The sequence below is a fragment of the Homo sapiens genome, chromosome 3 (assembly GCF_000001405.40).
Source record: "Homo sapiens chromosome 3, GRCh38.p14 Primary Assembly".
NCBI classification, from domain to species: Eukaryota; Metazoa; Chordata; class Mammalia; order Primates; family Hominidae; genus Homo; species Homo sapiens.
This window is the reverse complement of record NC_000003.12, coordinates 113,977,789-113,995,174: the sequence shown is the minus strand read 5'-3', so window position 1 is coordinate 113,995,174 and position 17,386 is coordinate 113,977,789. Positions and strand designations below refer to the sequence as shown.

Genomic DNA, 17,386 nt, shown 5'->3' with positions numbered 1-17,386 from the left:
CAAACACGGATTTGTTTTCTATCCCTATGTGTTTTGCCTTTTTCAGAAGTCATAACAGTGGATTCATACAGTGTTACTTTTTTCACTTAGTAAAATGCATTTATGATTCATCCATTTTGCTGCAGGAGTCAAAAGCTCGGTCCTTTTTATCATCAAATAGTATTCCAATAGAACTTCATCTGCATATGCAAGTTATCTATTCCTCTATTGATACTGCTTCCAGTTTCTGGCAATTATTAGTAAAGTTGCTAGAAACATTTACATACAGGTTTTTGTTTGGACTCATAAGTTTTCAGTTCAGTCAGGTGTTCACACCTGTAATCCCAGCACTTTGGAAGGCTGAGATGGGAGGATTTCTTGAGCCCAAAAGTTGATACCAGCCTGGGCAACATAGTGAGACCTTGTCTCTACAAAATAAAAGAAATTAGCCGGGTGTGGTGACATGCACCTGTAGTCCCAGCTACTTGGGAGGCTGAGGTGGGAGGATCGCTTGAGCTCAGGAGTTCGAAGTTGCAGTGAGCTATTATTTTGCTACTGCACTCCAGCCTCAGTGACAAAGCAAGACCCTGTTTCTAAAAAAAAAAAAAAAAAAAAGAATTTAGTTTTTTAAGTTTTCAATTCACTTAGGTAAATACCTAGGAATGTGATTGCTAGGTAGTGTGGTAAGTCAATGTTTAAGTTTATAGGTAATTGCCAAATTCTATTCCAAAGAGGCTGCACCATTTTGTGTTCCTACCAGTGATAAATGAAAGGTCTTTTTGTTGCACATCCTCATCAGCATTTGTTATTGTCAGTTAGGGGGGTTTAATATGTTCTAATAGGTGTGTAGTAATATATCATTGTGGTGTTTATTTGCGTTTCCCTAACAACAAATAATGCTAAGAATCCTTTCATATCTTTACTTGATATCCATATATCTTCTATGATGAAGTATCTGTTCAGATCTTTTGTCCATTTTTTGTTTACTTATTGTTGGGTTTTAAAAGTTCTTCATATATTCTGGACCAAGTCCTTTTTAGATATGTGATTTGCAAATATTTTCTCCCAGTCTAAGGCTTGTACTTTAATTCACTTAACAATGTCATTCACAGAGGAAAGTGTTAAATTTTAATAAAGTCAACCTTATCACTTTTTTCTTTCATGGATTGTGCTGTTGGTGTTGTATCCAGAACTAATCACCAAACTCAAAGTCATTCAGATTTTCAGTTTTTCCTTCACAAAGTTTTACATTTTACATTTAGGTCTGTGGTCTATTTGGAGTTAATTTTTTTTTCTTTTCTTTTTTTTTCTCTGAGACAGGGTCTCACTGTCACCCAGGCTGGAGTGCAGTGGCACGATCTCGGCTCACTGCAACCTCCACCTCCCAGGCTCAAGCGATTCTCCCACCTCAGCCTTCCAAGTAGCTGAGACTACAGGCACACACCACCATGCCCAGCTAATTTTTGTATTTTTAGTAGAGACGTGGTTTCACCAGGTTGTCCAGGCTGGTCTCAAACTCCTGACCTCAAGTGATCCACCCACCTCAGCCTGCCAAAGTGCAGTATTGGGATTACAGGCATGAGCCACCATGCCCAGCCCATTTGGAGTTAATTTTAATGTAAGTTGTGAGGTATGCTGTAATTTATTTTTTATATGGACGTTCAGTTGTTCCAGTATCATTTGTTTAGAAGACTATCTTTTCTCCATTAAATTATTTTTATATATTTGCCAAAAATCAGTTGACCATATTGTGTGGATCTATTTCTGGGCTCTCTGTTCTTTTCTGTTGTTACTTTATGTCTATTCCTTTGCAAGTAATACTGTCTTTGATTACTGTAGCTTTATAGGCATTGTGAATTCTGCTACTCTATTTTTCTTCTTCAGAATGTTTTGGCTATTCTAGTTCATTTGACTTTCCATATGAATCATAGAGTCTGGGTGTCACTATGTTACCCAGGGTGGTCTCAAACTCCTGGGCTCAAGTGATCCTCCTGCCTCAGCCTCTCAAAATGCTGGATTACAGGCGTGAGCCACCACACCTGGGTCACAGGGGTGACCCAGCCTACTGAAATTTTTTTTTATCATGCAAGGGTGTTGAGTTTTGTCACATGCTTTTCTGCATCTGTTGAGATGATCATATTACTTTTATCCTTCATTCTGTTAATATGGTGTATCACATTTATTGATCTGTGCATATTGAACCATCCTTGCATCCCAGGGATAACTCCCACTTGATCATAGTGTATTATCCTTTGAATGTGCTCTTGAATTTAGTTTGCTACTATTTTGTTCAGGATTTTTGCATTTATGTTCATCAGGTATGTTGGCCTATAATTTTTTTTGTAGTATCCTTGTCTGCCTGTAGTATCAGGGGAATGCTGGCCTCATAAAATGAGTGTGGAAGTGTTCCTTTCTCTTCAGTTTTGTTGGAAGAGTTTGAAAAGAATTGGCATTAATTCTTTTTTTTTATTATACTTTAAGTTTTAGGGTACGTGTGCACAACGTGCAGGTTTGTTACATATGTATACATGTGCCATGTTGGTATGCTGCACCCATTAACTCGTCATTTAGCATTAGGTATATCTACTAATGCTATCCCTTCCCCCTCCCCCCATCCCACAACAGTCCCCGTTTAAATGTTTGATACAATTCACCAATGAAGTCCTGGGTTTTTCTTTGTTAGATTTTTAAATTACTCATTCAATCTCCTTATTTGTTTATTGGTTATAGGGTCTGTGGCCTTTGTTCATTTGGTTGTTTATTGGTTAGTAGGGTCTGTGGCCTTTCTTCCCTGTTCCCAGCCTCCTCGAACCACTCAGCTGTGCTGATTACCTCAGTAATCTGGGTAAGGTAAGAAAGAAGTGGGCCTCTTGGGCAGCAGCCTACACAGCTGAGGGAGCTGAATGCTTACTCACTCTCCTCTCACTTTCCTCCGTGGGAGGAATCACAGGCTGTGGGGGTCTCTCTTGGCATTGAACTATGCTGCCTTGGGGGAGGGGTGACCTAGATAAAGTGAAACTATTCTTACCTTCTTCAGTGTGTCCAGTGATGTGCTGGAACTTCACTGCTGGACTTCTGGACTTCCACAAAGTACTCTCATCCATGGGTACTTGTCAAAATCAGTGCTTCTGCGGGGATATGATGGTAGAAAGCTGCTATTCCACCATCTTGCTAATGTCTTTTCTCTATTTATATCTTTGATTTCTTTCATCATTGTTTTTATAGCTTTCCTCACATCTCACATTTTGTTAGATTTGTACCTAACTACTGCATTTTTGGGGCACTATTATAAATGTTTTTTTTAAACTTTCATATTCCATTTATTCATTGCTAATATGGGAACATAATTCATTTTAGTATGTTGGTGTTGTATCCTGCAATCTTGCTAAACTCACTTTTTGGTTCCAGAAGTACTTTTGTAAATTATTTGGAATAGTCTAGGTAAACAGGTTGTCTGCTAATAAATGCAATATTATTTCTTCCTTTCCAATCTGCATGCCTTTTACTTATTTATCTTGCCTTATCACATTAGTTAGGACTTCCAGTATGAGATGGAATAGGCATGATGAGAGAAGACATCCTTGCCTTGTTTCAGATCTAGAGGGAAAGCATTCAGTATCTCACCATTAAGTATGATGTTTGCTGTGGGTTTTCATGAATGTCTTTTATTAGATGAAGGGAATTTTCATTTATTCCTAGATTGCTGAGAGTGTTTATTACAAATTTCACTGAAAGCTTTTTCTGCATCTTTGATATGATCATGTAGTTTTCTTAATTCCTCTACTAATACGGTAAACTACATTGATTGATTTTCCAATGTAAAATTATCCTTGCCTTCCTGAGATGAACTCCACTTGGTCATGGTGTGTTATTTTTATATATTGTTAGATTTCATGTGTTGGTATTTTGTTAAGAAATTGGTTTTTGGGGGGGGGGGTTTGTTTGTTTTTCTTTTTTTTTTTTTTGGAGTCTCACTGTGTTGCCCAGGCTGGAGTGCAGTGGCGTGATCTCAGCTCACTGTAACCTCCACCTCCCGAGTTCAAGCGATTCTCCTGCCTTGGCCTCCTGAGTAGCTGGGATTAGAGGCATGCGCCACCACACCCAGCTAATTTTTGTATTTTTAGTAAAGACGGGGTTTCACCATGTTGGCCAGGTTGGCCTTGAACTTTTAACCTTGTGATCCGCCCACTTCAGTCTCCCAAAGTGCTGGGATTACAGGCATGAGCCACCACATCTGGCCTTTTTTTTTTTTTTTTTTTTTTTTGAGGTGCTTTATCACTATGTTGCGCAGGCTAGTCTTAAACACTTGGGTTCAAATTATCTTGCCTCAGCCTCCTGAGTAGCTGGGATTCTAAGCATGCACCACCACACCAGCCTGCATTTCCTTTTTTTTATATTATGTTTGTCTTGTTGTGGTATTAGGATAATGGTTAGCCTCATAAAATGGGGGAAGTATACCCTTTTTTATTTTTTGAAAGAGAGTATGTAAAGTTGGTGTTATTTCTCTCTAAAATGTTTGGTAGAATTCACTGGTGAAACCACTGGGCCTGGAGTTTTCTTTTTTTATTATTTTATATTAAATTTTTTATTTCTGTAGGTTTTGGGGGAACAGGTGGTATTTGGTTACATGAGTAAATTCTTTGGTGGGGATTTGTGAGGTTTAGGTGCACCCATCACCTGAGCAATATATACTGAACCTAATTTGTAGTCTTTTATCCCTCACCTGGAGTTTTCTTTTTTAAAGTGATTTAAAATAACATATTCTATTTCTTTAATAGATATTGAGCTATTCAGTTCTTTTTTTCTTCTTGAGTAAAACTTGGTAGTTTGTATATTTCAGGAAATTTGAGCATTTAATCTAAGTTTTCAAGTCTCTTGGAACAGAGGTCATAGTATTCTCTTATGACCTTTTTAATGTCTATGAGATCAGTATTGATGTCTTCTCTTTAAATTTTGATATTGGCAATATATATCTTCTCTTCTGGTTTACCTGGATATCAGTTTTATCAATTTTATTTCTTTTCAAAAACTAACTTTTGGTTTCACTGGTTTTCTTTGTTGTTTTCCTCTTTTCAATTTCATTGATTTCTGCTTTAATTTTTATTTCTGTCCTCCTCCTTCCTTAAGAGTTTGCTCTCTTCCTCTAGTTTCCTAAGATATAAACTTCAGTTATTGATTTCAGATCTTTCTCTTTTTCTTTCTTTCTTTAGAGACAGGGCCTTGTTCTGTTGCCCAGGCAGGAATGCAGTGGTGTGATCACAGCTCACTATAACCTCAAACTCCTGGGCTCAAGCAATCCTCTCACCTCAGCCTCCTGAGTAGCTGAGACTACAGGCATGCACCACCATGTCCAATTGATTTTTTAAATTTTTTGTAGAGATGGGGTCTCACTGTGTTGTCCAGGCTGGTCTTAATTTCCTGGGCTCAAGAGATCCTCCCACCTTGGCCTCCCAAAGTGGTAAGATTACAGGCATGAGCCACCATGCCTGGCCTCTCCTTTTCTAGTGTGTGAATTTACTGCTGTAAATTTCCCTCTAAGTACTCTTTTACTTGTATATCATATTTTGATATTTTTATCTTTACTTAGTTCAAAATATTTTTAATTTCCCTTGAGATGTCCTCATTGTCCCATGGGTTATTAAGAAGTTTATTCTTTAATTTTTAAATATTTGAGGACTTTCAGATAACTTTTTACTAGTTTAATTTCTAGTTTTAATTTCTAGTTTAAGTTCCTTATGTTCCAAGAATGTACATTGCATGAAATTGTAAAGTTTTGCTTTATGACCCAGAATATTGTCTATCTCAGTGAATGTTCCATGTGCACTTGAGAAGAATATGTATAGTACTATAGTACTCAGCTGCCATTGGTCTGCTCTAGAAATGCCAAGTCACATTGTTTGAGTATGTTTTACTGTGTCTTACGGTATCTATATCTGTATTCTTACTGATTTTGTGCCTGCTTCTATCAGTTATTGAGAGAGGACTATTGAAGTTTCTAACTAAACTTGAGACTTATTTCTCCTTTCATATCTATCTGGTTTTGCCTCATGTACTTTGAAGGTTTGTTCTTAGGTGCATGTATGTTTAAAAAGACTTACATGGCCAGGGGCAGTGGCTCACGCCTGTAATCCCAGCACTTTGGGAGGCTGAGGCAGGCAGATCATGAGGTCAGGAGATCAAGACTATCCTGGCTAACATGGTGAAACCCTGTCTCTACTAAAAAAATACAAAAATATTAGCCGGGTGTGGTGGTGGGCACCTGTAGTCCCAGCTACTTGGGAGGCTGAGACAGGAGAATGGCATGAACCCGGGAGGCGGAGCTTGCAGTGAGCCGAGATTGAGCTGCTGCACTCCAGCCTCGGTGACAGAGCGAGACTCTGTCTCAAAAAAAAAAGACTTACATATATGCCTTATAAAATTGAATGTCTTATAGACATCATATAGCTATGTCTTGATTTAGCATCTAATTTGATAATCTCATTCTTTTAACTATTATGTTTAGCCCATTAACTTTAAAGTGATTATTGATAAAACTGGATTAAAATCTTTTTTTTTTTTTTTTTTTTTTTGAGATGGAGTCTCACTCTTGTTGCCCAGGCTGGAGTGCAGTGGCGTGATCTCTGCTCACCACAACCTCTGCCTCCTGGGTTCAAGTGATTCTCCTGCCTCAGCCTTCTGAGTAGCTGGGATTACAGGCACGCACCACCACGCCTGGCTAATTTTGTATTTTTAGTAGAGACTAGGTTTTGCCATGCTGGTCAGGCTGGTCTCGAACTCCTGACCTCAGGTGATCCACCCGTCTTGGCTGGAATAGCTGGGATTAACAGGCGCCCGCCACCATGCCCGGCTAATTTTTGTATTTTTAGTAGAGATGGGGTTTCACCATCTTGACCAGGCTGGTCTCAAACTCCTGACCTCGTGCTCCACCTGCCTCAGCCTCCCAAAGTGCTGGGATTACAGGCGTGAGCCACTGCACCCGGCCACAACTGGATTAAAATCTATCATCTTGTTAGCTATTTTCTATTTGTTGTACTTATTCTTTGTTTTTCTTTTTTCCCTACCTTATCTGGTTTTAATTAAGCATCTTTATGATTCTATTTTATTGTGTTTTTTTGGAGTTTTTATACCTCTTTAAATATATATATATATATATTGAGATGGAGTCTTGCTCTGTCGCCCAGGCTGGAGTGCAGTGGCATGATCTTGGCTCACTGCAACATCCGCTTCCTGGGTTCAAGCAATTCTCCTGCCTCAGCCTCCCGAACAGCTGGGATTACAGGCACCCACCAACACGCCCGGCTAATTTTTGTATTTTTAGTAGAGATGGGGTTTCACCATCTTGACCAGGCTGGTCTCAAATTCCTGACCTCGTGATCCACCTGCCTTGGCCTCCCAAAGTGCTGGGATTACAGGCGTGAGCCACTGCACCTGGTCCTCTTTTAAAAAATATTTTTAGTGGTTACCCTAGTGTTTACATTTTTAAAATAATCTCCTTCTACCTGAGTGTCGTAGCATGTACCTGTAATCTCAGCTACTTTGGAGGCTGAGGCAGGAGGACTGCCTGAGTCCAGTAGTTTGAGACAAGCGTGGGTAACATAGCAAGACCCTATCTCAAATAATAATAATGATCTCTTTCCACCTTCAAATAACACTTTACATGTAGTGAAAGAACCTTCTATCAGTATTTCCCAGTTCCTTCCTCCCATTCCTTTTGGTATTGTTGTCATGTCATATTTTTATGTATACTATAAATAGCCAATATCTTGTTAAACTTATTGTTTGAACAATTAGTTTTCTCAGTGGAATTAAAAATAAGATGATTATATTTAACTTTATTTCTTCTGTTTCTGATGCTCTTCATTTCTTTGTGTAGAGCTAAGTTCTTAACCTATATTATATTCTTTATGCCTGAAGAACTTTCTTTACCATTTCTTATAGGGTAGATCTGCTGGCAGTGAATTCCTTCAGTTTTTATTTGTCTGAGAGTCTTTATTTTTCCTTCACTTTTAAAGTATGTTTTTTGCCGGATATAGAATTGTGGGTTGACAGGTGTTTTTTTTTTTTTTCTTTCAACACCTTAATGATGTTACTCTATTGTTTTCTTGCTTGCCTGGTTTCTCACAAGACATCTACTGTAATTCTTACCTTTCTTTCTTTGTGGGTGTCTTATTCTGTTCAGGCTGCCATAACAAAATGTCACAGACTAGGTGGATAAATAACTGAAATTTGTTTTCTCACAGTTTTAGAGGCTGCAAAGTCCAAGATCAGGGTGCCTGCATGGTTGGCTTTTGGAAAGGGGTCTTCTTGGCTTGCAGACAGCTTCTTCTCACTGTGTCCTCATACAGTCTTTCCTTGGTGCTTCTGTTTGGAGACAGAGGGGAGAGGGAGAGAGCGCATGCGAGAGAGAGCAAGCAAGCACACCACGGTATCGCTTCTTATAAGGACATTAATTCTGTCCAATTAGGGCTGCACCCTAGGACCCCATTTAACCTTCATTACTTCCTTAGTGGCCCTATGTTCAAATACAGCCACACTAGGGGTTAGGGCTTCAACACAGTAACTTTAGGGGGACACAAGCATTCAGTTCATGACAGTAGGTAATGTGGGTCTTTCCCTTTAGCTACCTTCAAGACTTTTTCTTTGTCTTTGATTTTTAGCAGTTCGAATATGATATATCTAGGTATGGTTGGTTGGTTGGTTTGGTCTTGGCTTTGGTGGTCTTAAGCTTCTTGGATATATGATTTTGTGTTTTGTTACTGATTTTGGAATATGTTTGCCCGTTATTTCTTCAAATTATTTCACTTACCCCATTCTTTTTCTTTTCCTTATGGGATTTGTTATGCCATTGTTACATTGTTTCATATTATCCCACAGCTCTCAGATGCACTATTTTGTTTTTCACTCTTTTTGCCTTTCAGTTTGTGTAATTTCCATTGCCCTATTGTCAGGTTAGCTGGTTCTTTCCTTGGCTGTATCTTCTAGCAGTAAGCTAGTTGAAGTGCCTCTTTATCTCTATTACCATGTGTTTTTTTATTTCTAGCATTTTTATTTTGAATCTTTTTTTATAGTTTCCATGTCTCTGCTAAAATTACCTATCTGATCTGGAATGATGTCTACCTTTTCCATTAGAACATTTAACATTATTTTTGGAAGTTATTTAAAATTCCCTCTCTGATAGTTCCAACATCTCTGTCATATCTGAGCCTTGTTCTGATGATTGGCTCATCTTTTCAGGGTGTATTTATTTCTTGTCTTTGGGTATGCCTTGTATTTTTTTGTTGAAGGCCAGACCTGTTGTTCAGGGCAATAGAAACTGCAACACGTTGGCCTAGAGTGTGGAGATTTGTACTAATTTAGCCGGGAATTGGGCTATGTTTGAAGCTTGTTGTTGCCGTGGTCACCATTGTTGAGGTTTGTTGCTGTATGCTGTAGACATCAGAGACTTTAATGTCTTCTAGTGACTTTGTTTTTGCTTCCTCTTTTGGTTTTGGGTCTTCCTTTTGTGCTGCTCCCCAGAGAGAATCTGTTGTTTACAGCTTTCTCAGCTGTAATCCACTATTATTATTGGAAGCTTATATAAGTGTGGTGATTGGGTGTGGACGATGGGGAGCATTCTCTGTTCTGATTAAGTCTCAGTGTTTGGAATGCACAGCTTTAAGCACTCAGATAATTTCTGTTCCCACTCCAGTGGTAGAGCTTTTTTCTGCCCCCTTTTTCCCTTTATCCGCAGTGGGTATCCACCACTGTCTCAGTCTGTGACCTTAAAGACCTTCCCTCTGGAGAATAAGGCTTCCCCAACCCCTAAGTGAGATAGGGAGGACTTGTCTGGGCAGAATCCCCTGAATCCCCTTCCCTCAGATGCAGTGCTAATCTGCCAGTGTACTGGGTTGGTTGCTAGGACAGATAAACCTTTTGTTTCCTAAGGAAGAATGCTCTGGGAAGATTTTGCAGTTGCTGCTGTGCCTCTCCCCAGCCAGAACCATGGTGCAAACTTTCTGTGGATTCTCCATGATCTTCTCTGTGAGAGCCTGGTAGCGTTCTTATAAGAAAAGCCTTCAAAGGGATGAGAAGCACCCCCATGACTGTGATCCCCAGGAGCTTCAACCTTCTCATGCTGGCCCACTCACTGTCTGCCTCCATCAGTTCACCAAAATTTCTAGTTTAATTGTCTTACTCATATGGTATCCAGTGGCTTCTGCCTCCGGTAAACAAATGCTTAGGTCCTGTGCCTCCCTGAAGATGCCTGTCTCTCCAAATTTGGGGGTAGCTTCAGATCTCTGATCAGTTCACAAAAAGTCATTAATTTGTTGCATGACCAGCTTTTTCCTTGTTGGAAGAAAACTTATGCAGAACAAGAATGGTGAAAAATACATTACTGACCAAGAGATCATTTTATTTCTCTCACTATATCAAGCCCAAACATTTTCCTTTTAGAAGCTGCAGTTCATAGCAATAGATAAGAAGATTTTGTCACATAGACTAGTTTCCATTTCATTAGTCAACTGGAGCTATCTAAATTGAGATAGGTGCATTTATAGGCTGGCTATACTTGAGTCTTCTTTGAGGACAACTTTAGATATAAAATGCACATGGCAATTGTCTTCTTTTCCTTCTGGACAAAGATGCTCTACACAGTGTGCTTCTCCACTCAGATTTTCATAGGTCTTATTCCTTTTTACCCATCAAGTTCTGCCAAGCAATTCTTTACTTCCTTATATGCTTTATATAACTTTTCCCAGTAAGCAACCTCCAAGGCCATAGTAGTGTTATTCCTCTGGATATCAAAAAGATAGTGGCACTTCTGAACAAGTGCCTTCTGAGACTTCTCTGAATCATTTGTATCCTAGATGTGTTTGGTTGAACTCTGCTTAACCTCTTCTATTTGGGCGGGTATTTTTGCTCATTGAGTGTACCAGCAAATTGTCCAACAGAGGTACCATGTTTTCTAATGACATAGATAAAAAAAAACCCTACTGTTGATATGATAAAGAAAGTCTCTGGGGCAATCATATATATTTCTTTGGAGAGATATTATGAGATAAGCCCAGTTATGTGTGTATAGGGTGCTGTGACACCATTTTAGATAAAGGAACTGGAAGAATTCTTCAGGGATAAGCCCTCATGACAGACCTGTCCTCTATATTCAGCAAGAGGTGGTACAGAGGCAAGACATGGCTACAGCTTAGTGTCCCCATGACCCTGCCAGAAAAGCATGTTGGGTGCCACAGTAAGGTGGCCACTCAGAGGTCTCACAAAGTGACCTTCTGAAAATAATAATCTAACCTCTTCTTAACACCCCCCTGTATGTTTATTAAATGCTTATACTTAACAGGCAATAACTTTTATGGCTATATATACTTCTGATTGATGGACAGTTGAAGTTTGCGGTTGAAAAAATAATTTTATCAGAGAAGACAAGGCAAGATTTAAAGTTTTTCCATAATTGCTTATCAAGCATATTTGCACACTGAACAAATATCTGTAAAGCATTTACTTACGTAGATGTTAGAATGTAGCAATGAAGAAGACAGATAACAGCCCTGCCGTCTGAAAGCTTCTATGCTAGTTGGGGAAAACAGGCCAATAATCAAAGTAATGACTAAAGAAGTAGGGAGAGAGTGGTATAGTTGGTGGAAGCAGTATGGGAAATACCTCTCTGAGGAGGTGATATTTGAGCTCCTGGATGCTGAGGCGGCCTCCACAGTGTCTAGTTGGCGGGGGCATGTTAAATGTGAGATACCTATTGGACATCCAAATGAACATGTCAGATATGTGCTTGGGTATATAAGCCTGGACCACAAGACTGTGTACGCAAGTGAAAAACAAGTCAATGTTTATAATGGTCTGGAAGTAGCTGTAATCAGCTTGGGAGATTGTCTGGATAGAGTAGAAATGAGAGTCCAAGATCAAGTCCTAAGGACTATAAATAGCTATTTAGAGGATAAGGAGCTAGTGAGGTAGAAAGAGAACAGGAGAGTTTAGAATCAAAACACCAAGAGAAAAAAGTATTTCTGTTAGGGGAGTGGTGGGAGTGGTGAATTTGGCTGAATGCTACCGAGTTCAATTAAAAGTAGCACAGATAAGTGATTCTTTGATTTGGAAGCCCAGCAAGCATTCATGACCTAGGCAACAGGGCTTTCAGTGGTGTTCTAGGAAAGGAGCCTCATTCCAGTGGGCTGAGGAGAGAATAGGTGAGGAACTAGAGACCATGAGTACAGATGCGGATCTCCTGAGATCAGAGATAGATGTGGAGCTCATGAGAAAGAGATCCGCATCTATACTCATGGTCTCTAGTTGTTTTTTGTTAGTTATTTTTTATTTTTGGTTTTTTTTTTTTTGTTTTTTTGTTTTGAAGAGGGGAGATACTGGCACATATTTGCATACTGATAGGAATAATCCAGTAGTGAGGGAGAAATTCGTGATGCAGAAGAGCAGAGTATAAATCACAGGAGTGGGTAAGCAGGAATATATTCTAGAGCACAAAGGGAGAGTAGCGTACAAGGGACAGAAGGCCAAGAGTTTTGGGGCAGTGTCAATTGCCCTGTACTTTTTTTTTTAACATAGCTGTAATTTCTGGCTTTTCTCCTAAAGCATACTAGCTGACAAAGCTACACATTTATTTCAGAAAGAAGCCCAGATTTTATATCCCTTTTTAGCCTCAGTGATCTGTGTTCTATGAAACCCCTAGCTACATAGATCCCCACTATAAGTGCCATCTCAAAACAGCATCATATCATGTAATCCTCACAGTAAATCATGGATGCAGGTGCTATTAAAGACATTTTATAAACCAGGAAATTGAAAATGTGGTAATATTAATGAAATACAACCAGTTCTATCGAGGAACCCTTAATAGAGGGAGGAGATACATATTTGAATTAAATTGCTATGTAAGAATACAACATTTTGACTCAAGCAGAACTCATGTTTTTCTTTATATTTTTCCATGGAAGTGTAGACTTTGAAAAAGTCTGGTTTTCCCCACAATTCAGCTGAAAATAATTTTCCTTTTGGAGCTGATTAACACCAGCCAGTAATTATTCTAGGAGGATAGTTACACCATAACTTATCTCTGCATGGGAACAAGTTCTTTTGTCTGAGCCTGAGGGCTTCTCCAAAGGTTATTATCTGCATTAGATGTCTCTCTGCAAGATGCAGCTGCTGCCTTAATGCTACACTGACATTTCAGTGGATGTGGAAGGGTCAGTTTCTGTTTTCCTCCCCACTTAACCCTCAGCTTCCTCTTACTATGCATGAGAAAATTGTTGTAAATTTTCTCTCTGGCCATTTCATTCAACAAGTATCTCAAGTGCCTGAAATAAAGAGTATAAAGCTTGTTTTGGTTTAATGGCTAAGAGAATATGGACATTTCATTTTTCAGAGCTTTCACAGAAATAGGCAGTTTGTATTGGAAAATTAGAGCAATTCTTCCTTCCATATTAGAAATGTTCCATTGCTCTCTCTGTAATGTTTCTCTCACAGAAGGCTCAGGCACATTAAGTAGCTTGCCAGGATCAGCCAGTTCACCACTGCCCTTTTCCTAATGTGAAATCGTATGAAGTAAAGGAAATCAGCTTAAATTAAATGTTTTTGTATTTATGCTGCAAAGATGACGACTATGAAAGCAGTCTTCAGTCTTTGTTGCTCTTGTGTCTTTCACTGCAGGTGTCACTTGCTCCCACTCCCCCTTTCTGGGTAGATTTCTTTTTCTCTCACCTTTACAATAAGCTATTTTTATTAAAAGAGAAAAAAGGAAATAATGATATCTATAGGGTCGATCATTAAGTTTTTGTCATCTTTCTTGGTCACACCCCTGAGGGGTGCAGTTCTTTGAGGGTCATGGAGTGTCTTTTCTCAGTGTATTACCAGGAATAGTTCATCTTTTTCCTTCTTAGAAGAGGGAAGGTAGCTTAATGATGATCAACTATCTTTAACTTGCCTCTGGACTTATTGTTCTTCACTTAAAAAGAAAAATACTAGTAAGAATATTCTTCCAGACTTTTAATGGAGTATCATTAAATCTCTATCCCATAGTTTAAATGAAGTGGCTGTATGGCTGGGTTTTTCATATAATGAGGGGGAAAATCCTGATTGCTCTCCTAACTAGATGTTTTACCTTTTAGTTACTTGGTGAGAGAGAAATTATTTCTGTGAACAATACTGAATAAATCCACGAATATGCATAGCCCTGATTCTTGTAGACTCATGACCAGCTTCTCCTGACCCTCTTAGCAGAATTATTTCCTTTTTTTTAAAGAAAAAGCCCTATTATCCAGAGCTCTGTTATCATGATTAACACACCATTCAATGGTTACATGTTCAAATTAAATTCATTAGCTTTTCATTGAAATGAAACTCATTCGTTTTTTGATCATAGCATTTTGCTTTTTAATCTTTTCCAGAAAGAACTTGAGAAGCAGAAGAGAATTAAGAGGAACCAGCAGCTGGAAGCAATAGCCAAAGAACATTATGAAAGGGTCTTGCTAAGGAAAAAAGGTCTAGAGCCTTGGAAGAGATTGAGAATGCAAAGCAAACAAAACATCCAGGTACACTGTCCCACTGTTATCCCCCAGATTAGAAAATGGACTTTTCCAAATAGGATGGATGCCCAGTTAAGCTTGGGGGAGGGTAGGGTTTGGTGATTTAAAGCCAGAAAGATAAATTAATTGAATGTGTGTATTTGTTTTGGATACAATTTTTGATTTGGTCTTTTAAGGTAGAGAAGGACTTTTGTAATTGAATAGGTTGGAAAAAATGAGAGAAAATGTTTTATTAGAGATCCCCCCAAGGTAAGATGAATAGAAGCTTCTCTCAGTTTGAGTAAGGGAAAAGTTATTACCATAAGGTACATTAGTCAGGTTTCTGCCTGTGATAAAGTTGCATAACAGACAACCCCCAAATATCAGTGGCTTACAGCTCAAGTATTTATTTCTCACTCATATGTCTGTGGGCCAGTTGTGGATTGAGTTCAGGTCTCTCCCCAAGCCTCTCATTCTGGTTACAGCAGCTACTCAGGGCATGCTTTTCACCTGGCAACTGTCAGAGCTACAAAAGGCCAAACCAAATTATGTAAACCCGTTGCTTGTATTATGTCCACATTCCATTGGCCAAAGCAAATCAAAGGGCCAAGCTCAAAGTCATTGAGGAGAGAAAGAGCTCCATCCACTCTACAGGGAGGAACTGTGAAATCACATTGCAAAGGGTATGGGTGTATAATTCTATTAGAGAGAACAGAACAGTAATTCACTCTACTGCAGAGAGATATATGAAATCAGACACCGCAGAAATTTCTAAAATTTCCCTAACAAATTTATCCAGTGCATGCAACTAAATGATTAAAAATTCAAAATAGATAAAATGTTATCTCATCTTTTGGCTCTCAGTCTGCTGAGATGAGTCCAGGACAGGCAGAAATCTCAGGTGCCACAGAGACCTCCGTGGTGGTCATTTTGGCCAATAAATATGACTGCCAAGAGACTCACTTGAGTCAATCACATTCACAGTGCCAGATATCTAGACAAGGCTTAGAAAAATGTGTCGCTGTTTAGAGAGGACTAAGAGAGAAGGCTTTTCCCCTCTTGCCTCTTAAAAGAATATAACAGTTACTTTTAAAAATCTATAAATTCTGATTTGTATGTTTATTTTGATAGAATGATACTCAGTTGAAAAGACATTAAATTATTCATGTTATTTTCTATCAGATGGTTTTGTGGTTTATTGATAATGTCTAAATTTCAATGCTGGTGACAGCTCATTCCACAACACTAATTGAAAGTATTGGCATTTCCTCAATTAGACAGTGGTTAAGTCATGAGAAAGAGAGGTTTGTTGTGGAGTTGCTGTCCAAGCTCCAGGAGAGCAAATTGAGAATGTTGCCAGCTACCCACTCCAAAACTCAGGGGAAGTGAAGTAATGGCTTAGAGGTTGGTTGTTCCATTTCCATAACCAGCAAATCACTGTGGTCTTCAGGGAGCTGGCATTGAAAGGCCATGCATGATGTGAATCTATAACCTCCATAGAATAGGTCAACAGTCAAAGCTTTTAGGACACAGGCTGCATGTACCTTCAGATTATTCTCTACCGACTGCCTAAATGTGTTTTATAGCATCATTTCCAAAGGTGATGTGTTTGTTTAAATGATTTAAAATTTAAGGAATAATATTTCTCATTTAAAAAATTGTCCAGGTGGCAGAAGAACATTACTCTTTGTTCCTGCAGAGGAAATACATGCTGACGTGGTTCCAGCGTAGTCAGGAAAGTCTGGCTAGAAAGATGGCCCAGGCTGATCAATTTTATTCCCAAATACTGCTTAAGAGAGTCATCCAGAGCTGGCTACAGGTAAGGACATAGGGAAGGGTACCTTAAATACATCTCATTGCTCAATTCTATTTAAGAAAACTAAATGAAATCCAGAATGTCCAGGGTCATTATGTTTTTTCAAGAACAAAAGAGTAGTCAATCCCATTCACTGCTTTGAAATAAATGTGAAAATGGTAAATCAGTGTTTTATTAGTGTAAAATCCTAAGCCTGTGTTTGTTTCACGGAGTGTGTATAAACTGTAAGTTATCATTCCATCAGCTTTTGTTTTTATAGTCATTTCTTGTTTCTTGTCTCACAGTGCTCAAGTGATTTAGAAACTTACCCCTTCAATCTTATAACTGTTTCTATTCATGTGTTCTCTTACCATTTTTAGGATACATTATAGAGGATATTTTCTTGGCTTCCAGGTTATCCTTTTCTTTGTATGTCTCTAGTGTCATTTGTTTCTTTTGTTTCATTTCTGTCTTTTGTGCTGTTTATTTGCTCTAATTCTTTGTCAACTGATATTTTTTGTCTCACTTTTATTTCTGTCTTCATCCCCAGTACGTGATTGATCTGCAGGAAGAAGTAAGAAAATTTTGTGTACATTTTCTTCAAAAGAAGATTTTCAGGGCCTGGTTTAACATGGTCAGGGAGGTGAAGATCGATTCTCAGGGCAAGCATGAGATTGCAGCGGAGCACAGTGACAGGTGAGGTTTTGATAGTGAGGAAAATTCACTCTCTGACTTCACAATTGCTCAGCAATATATTCTGCTCCTACAATGTGTCTGCAGAGATGAGCTGGAGGCTAGGAGAGCGGGGAAACACCAGTCAGGGGTGGGAGTCCCGGCTCACCAGCAATGTAATAAACCCCCTGGGACTCCAGGGTTCCATCTTTAAAAAGAGAAGTGGGAGGAGGAGGAGGCCTGCCCTTTCTACCTCACGGAAACTGCCAAGAGAATAAAATGATGTGACCTATATGAAACACACCTAAGCAAAAGTACTGTATTCTTTGTTAGTCAAATATAGTTTTATTTTTTAAGTTCAGTTTCTCTTTCAACATCATTTATTGTGAAATGTACGACAAATATAGAAAAGTGCTTAAAT

At 38.8% G+C, this 17,386-nt stretch overlaps 2 protein-coding genes and 1 pseudogene across 16 annotated transcripts in view, besides 2 other annotated features; 1 reads left to right on the top strand and 2 right to left on the bottom strand.

The window, feature by feature from the left end:
• The window catches only part of CCDC191 (coiled-coil domain containing 191), a 92,477-nt gene that overhangs the window by 61,439 nt on the left and 13,652 nt on the right, over positions 1 to 17,386 (top strand). For all 12 annotated transcript variants that reach the window (NR_148531.3, XM_011513052.3, NM_001353767.2 and 9 more), the window contains 3 exon segments: positions 14,382 to 14,525; positions 16,165 to 16,317; positions 16,844 to 16,989. Coding sequence is in view for 11 of the 12 variants with exons in the window: in XM_011513052.3 (XP_011511354.1) it covers positions 14,382 to 14,525; positions 16,165 to 16,317; positions 16,844 to 16,989 (443 nt within the window). In the remaining variant the exon portion in view is untranslated.
• Positions 9,314 to 9,363: an enhancer, noted in NCBI's record as "active region_20265". NCBI's record gives its function as "activates an Ori minimal core promoter by ATAC-STARR-seq in GM12878 lymphoblastoid cells {active_cell/tissue: GM12878}" and the evidence as "EXISTENCE:reporter gene assay evidence [ECO:0000049][PMID:35858748]".
• Positions 9,444 to 9,523: an enhancer, noted in NCBI's record as "active region_20264". NCBI's record gives its function as "activates an Ori minimal core promoter by ATAC-STARR-seq in GM12878 lymphoblastoid cells {active_cell/tissue: GM12878}" and the evidence as "EXISTENCE:reporter gene assay evidence [ECO:0000049][PMID:35858748]".
• On the bottom strand, positions 10,520 to 11,154 carry ATP5PBP8 (ATP5PB pseudogene 8; annotated as a pseudogene).
• Positions 15,667 to 17,386, bottom strand: part of ZDHHC23 (zDHHC palmitoyltransferase 23) — a 31,608-nt gene continuing 29,888 nt past the window's right edge. For 2 of the 4 annotated variants that reach the window (XM_047447885.1, XM_006713562.4), the window contains exon 6: positions 15,667 to 16,855. In XM_047447885.1, the coding sequence (XP_047303841.1) occupies positions 16,797 to 16,855 (59 nt within the window). In that variant the 3' untranslated portion in view covers positions 15,667 to 16,796. The remainder of the gene's footprint in view (positions 16,856 to 17,386) is intronic. The other 2 variants (XR_001740081.2, XM_047447886.1) reach the window with 1 other exon arrangement.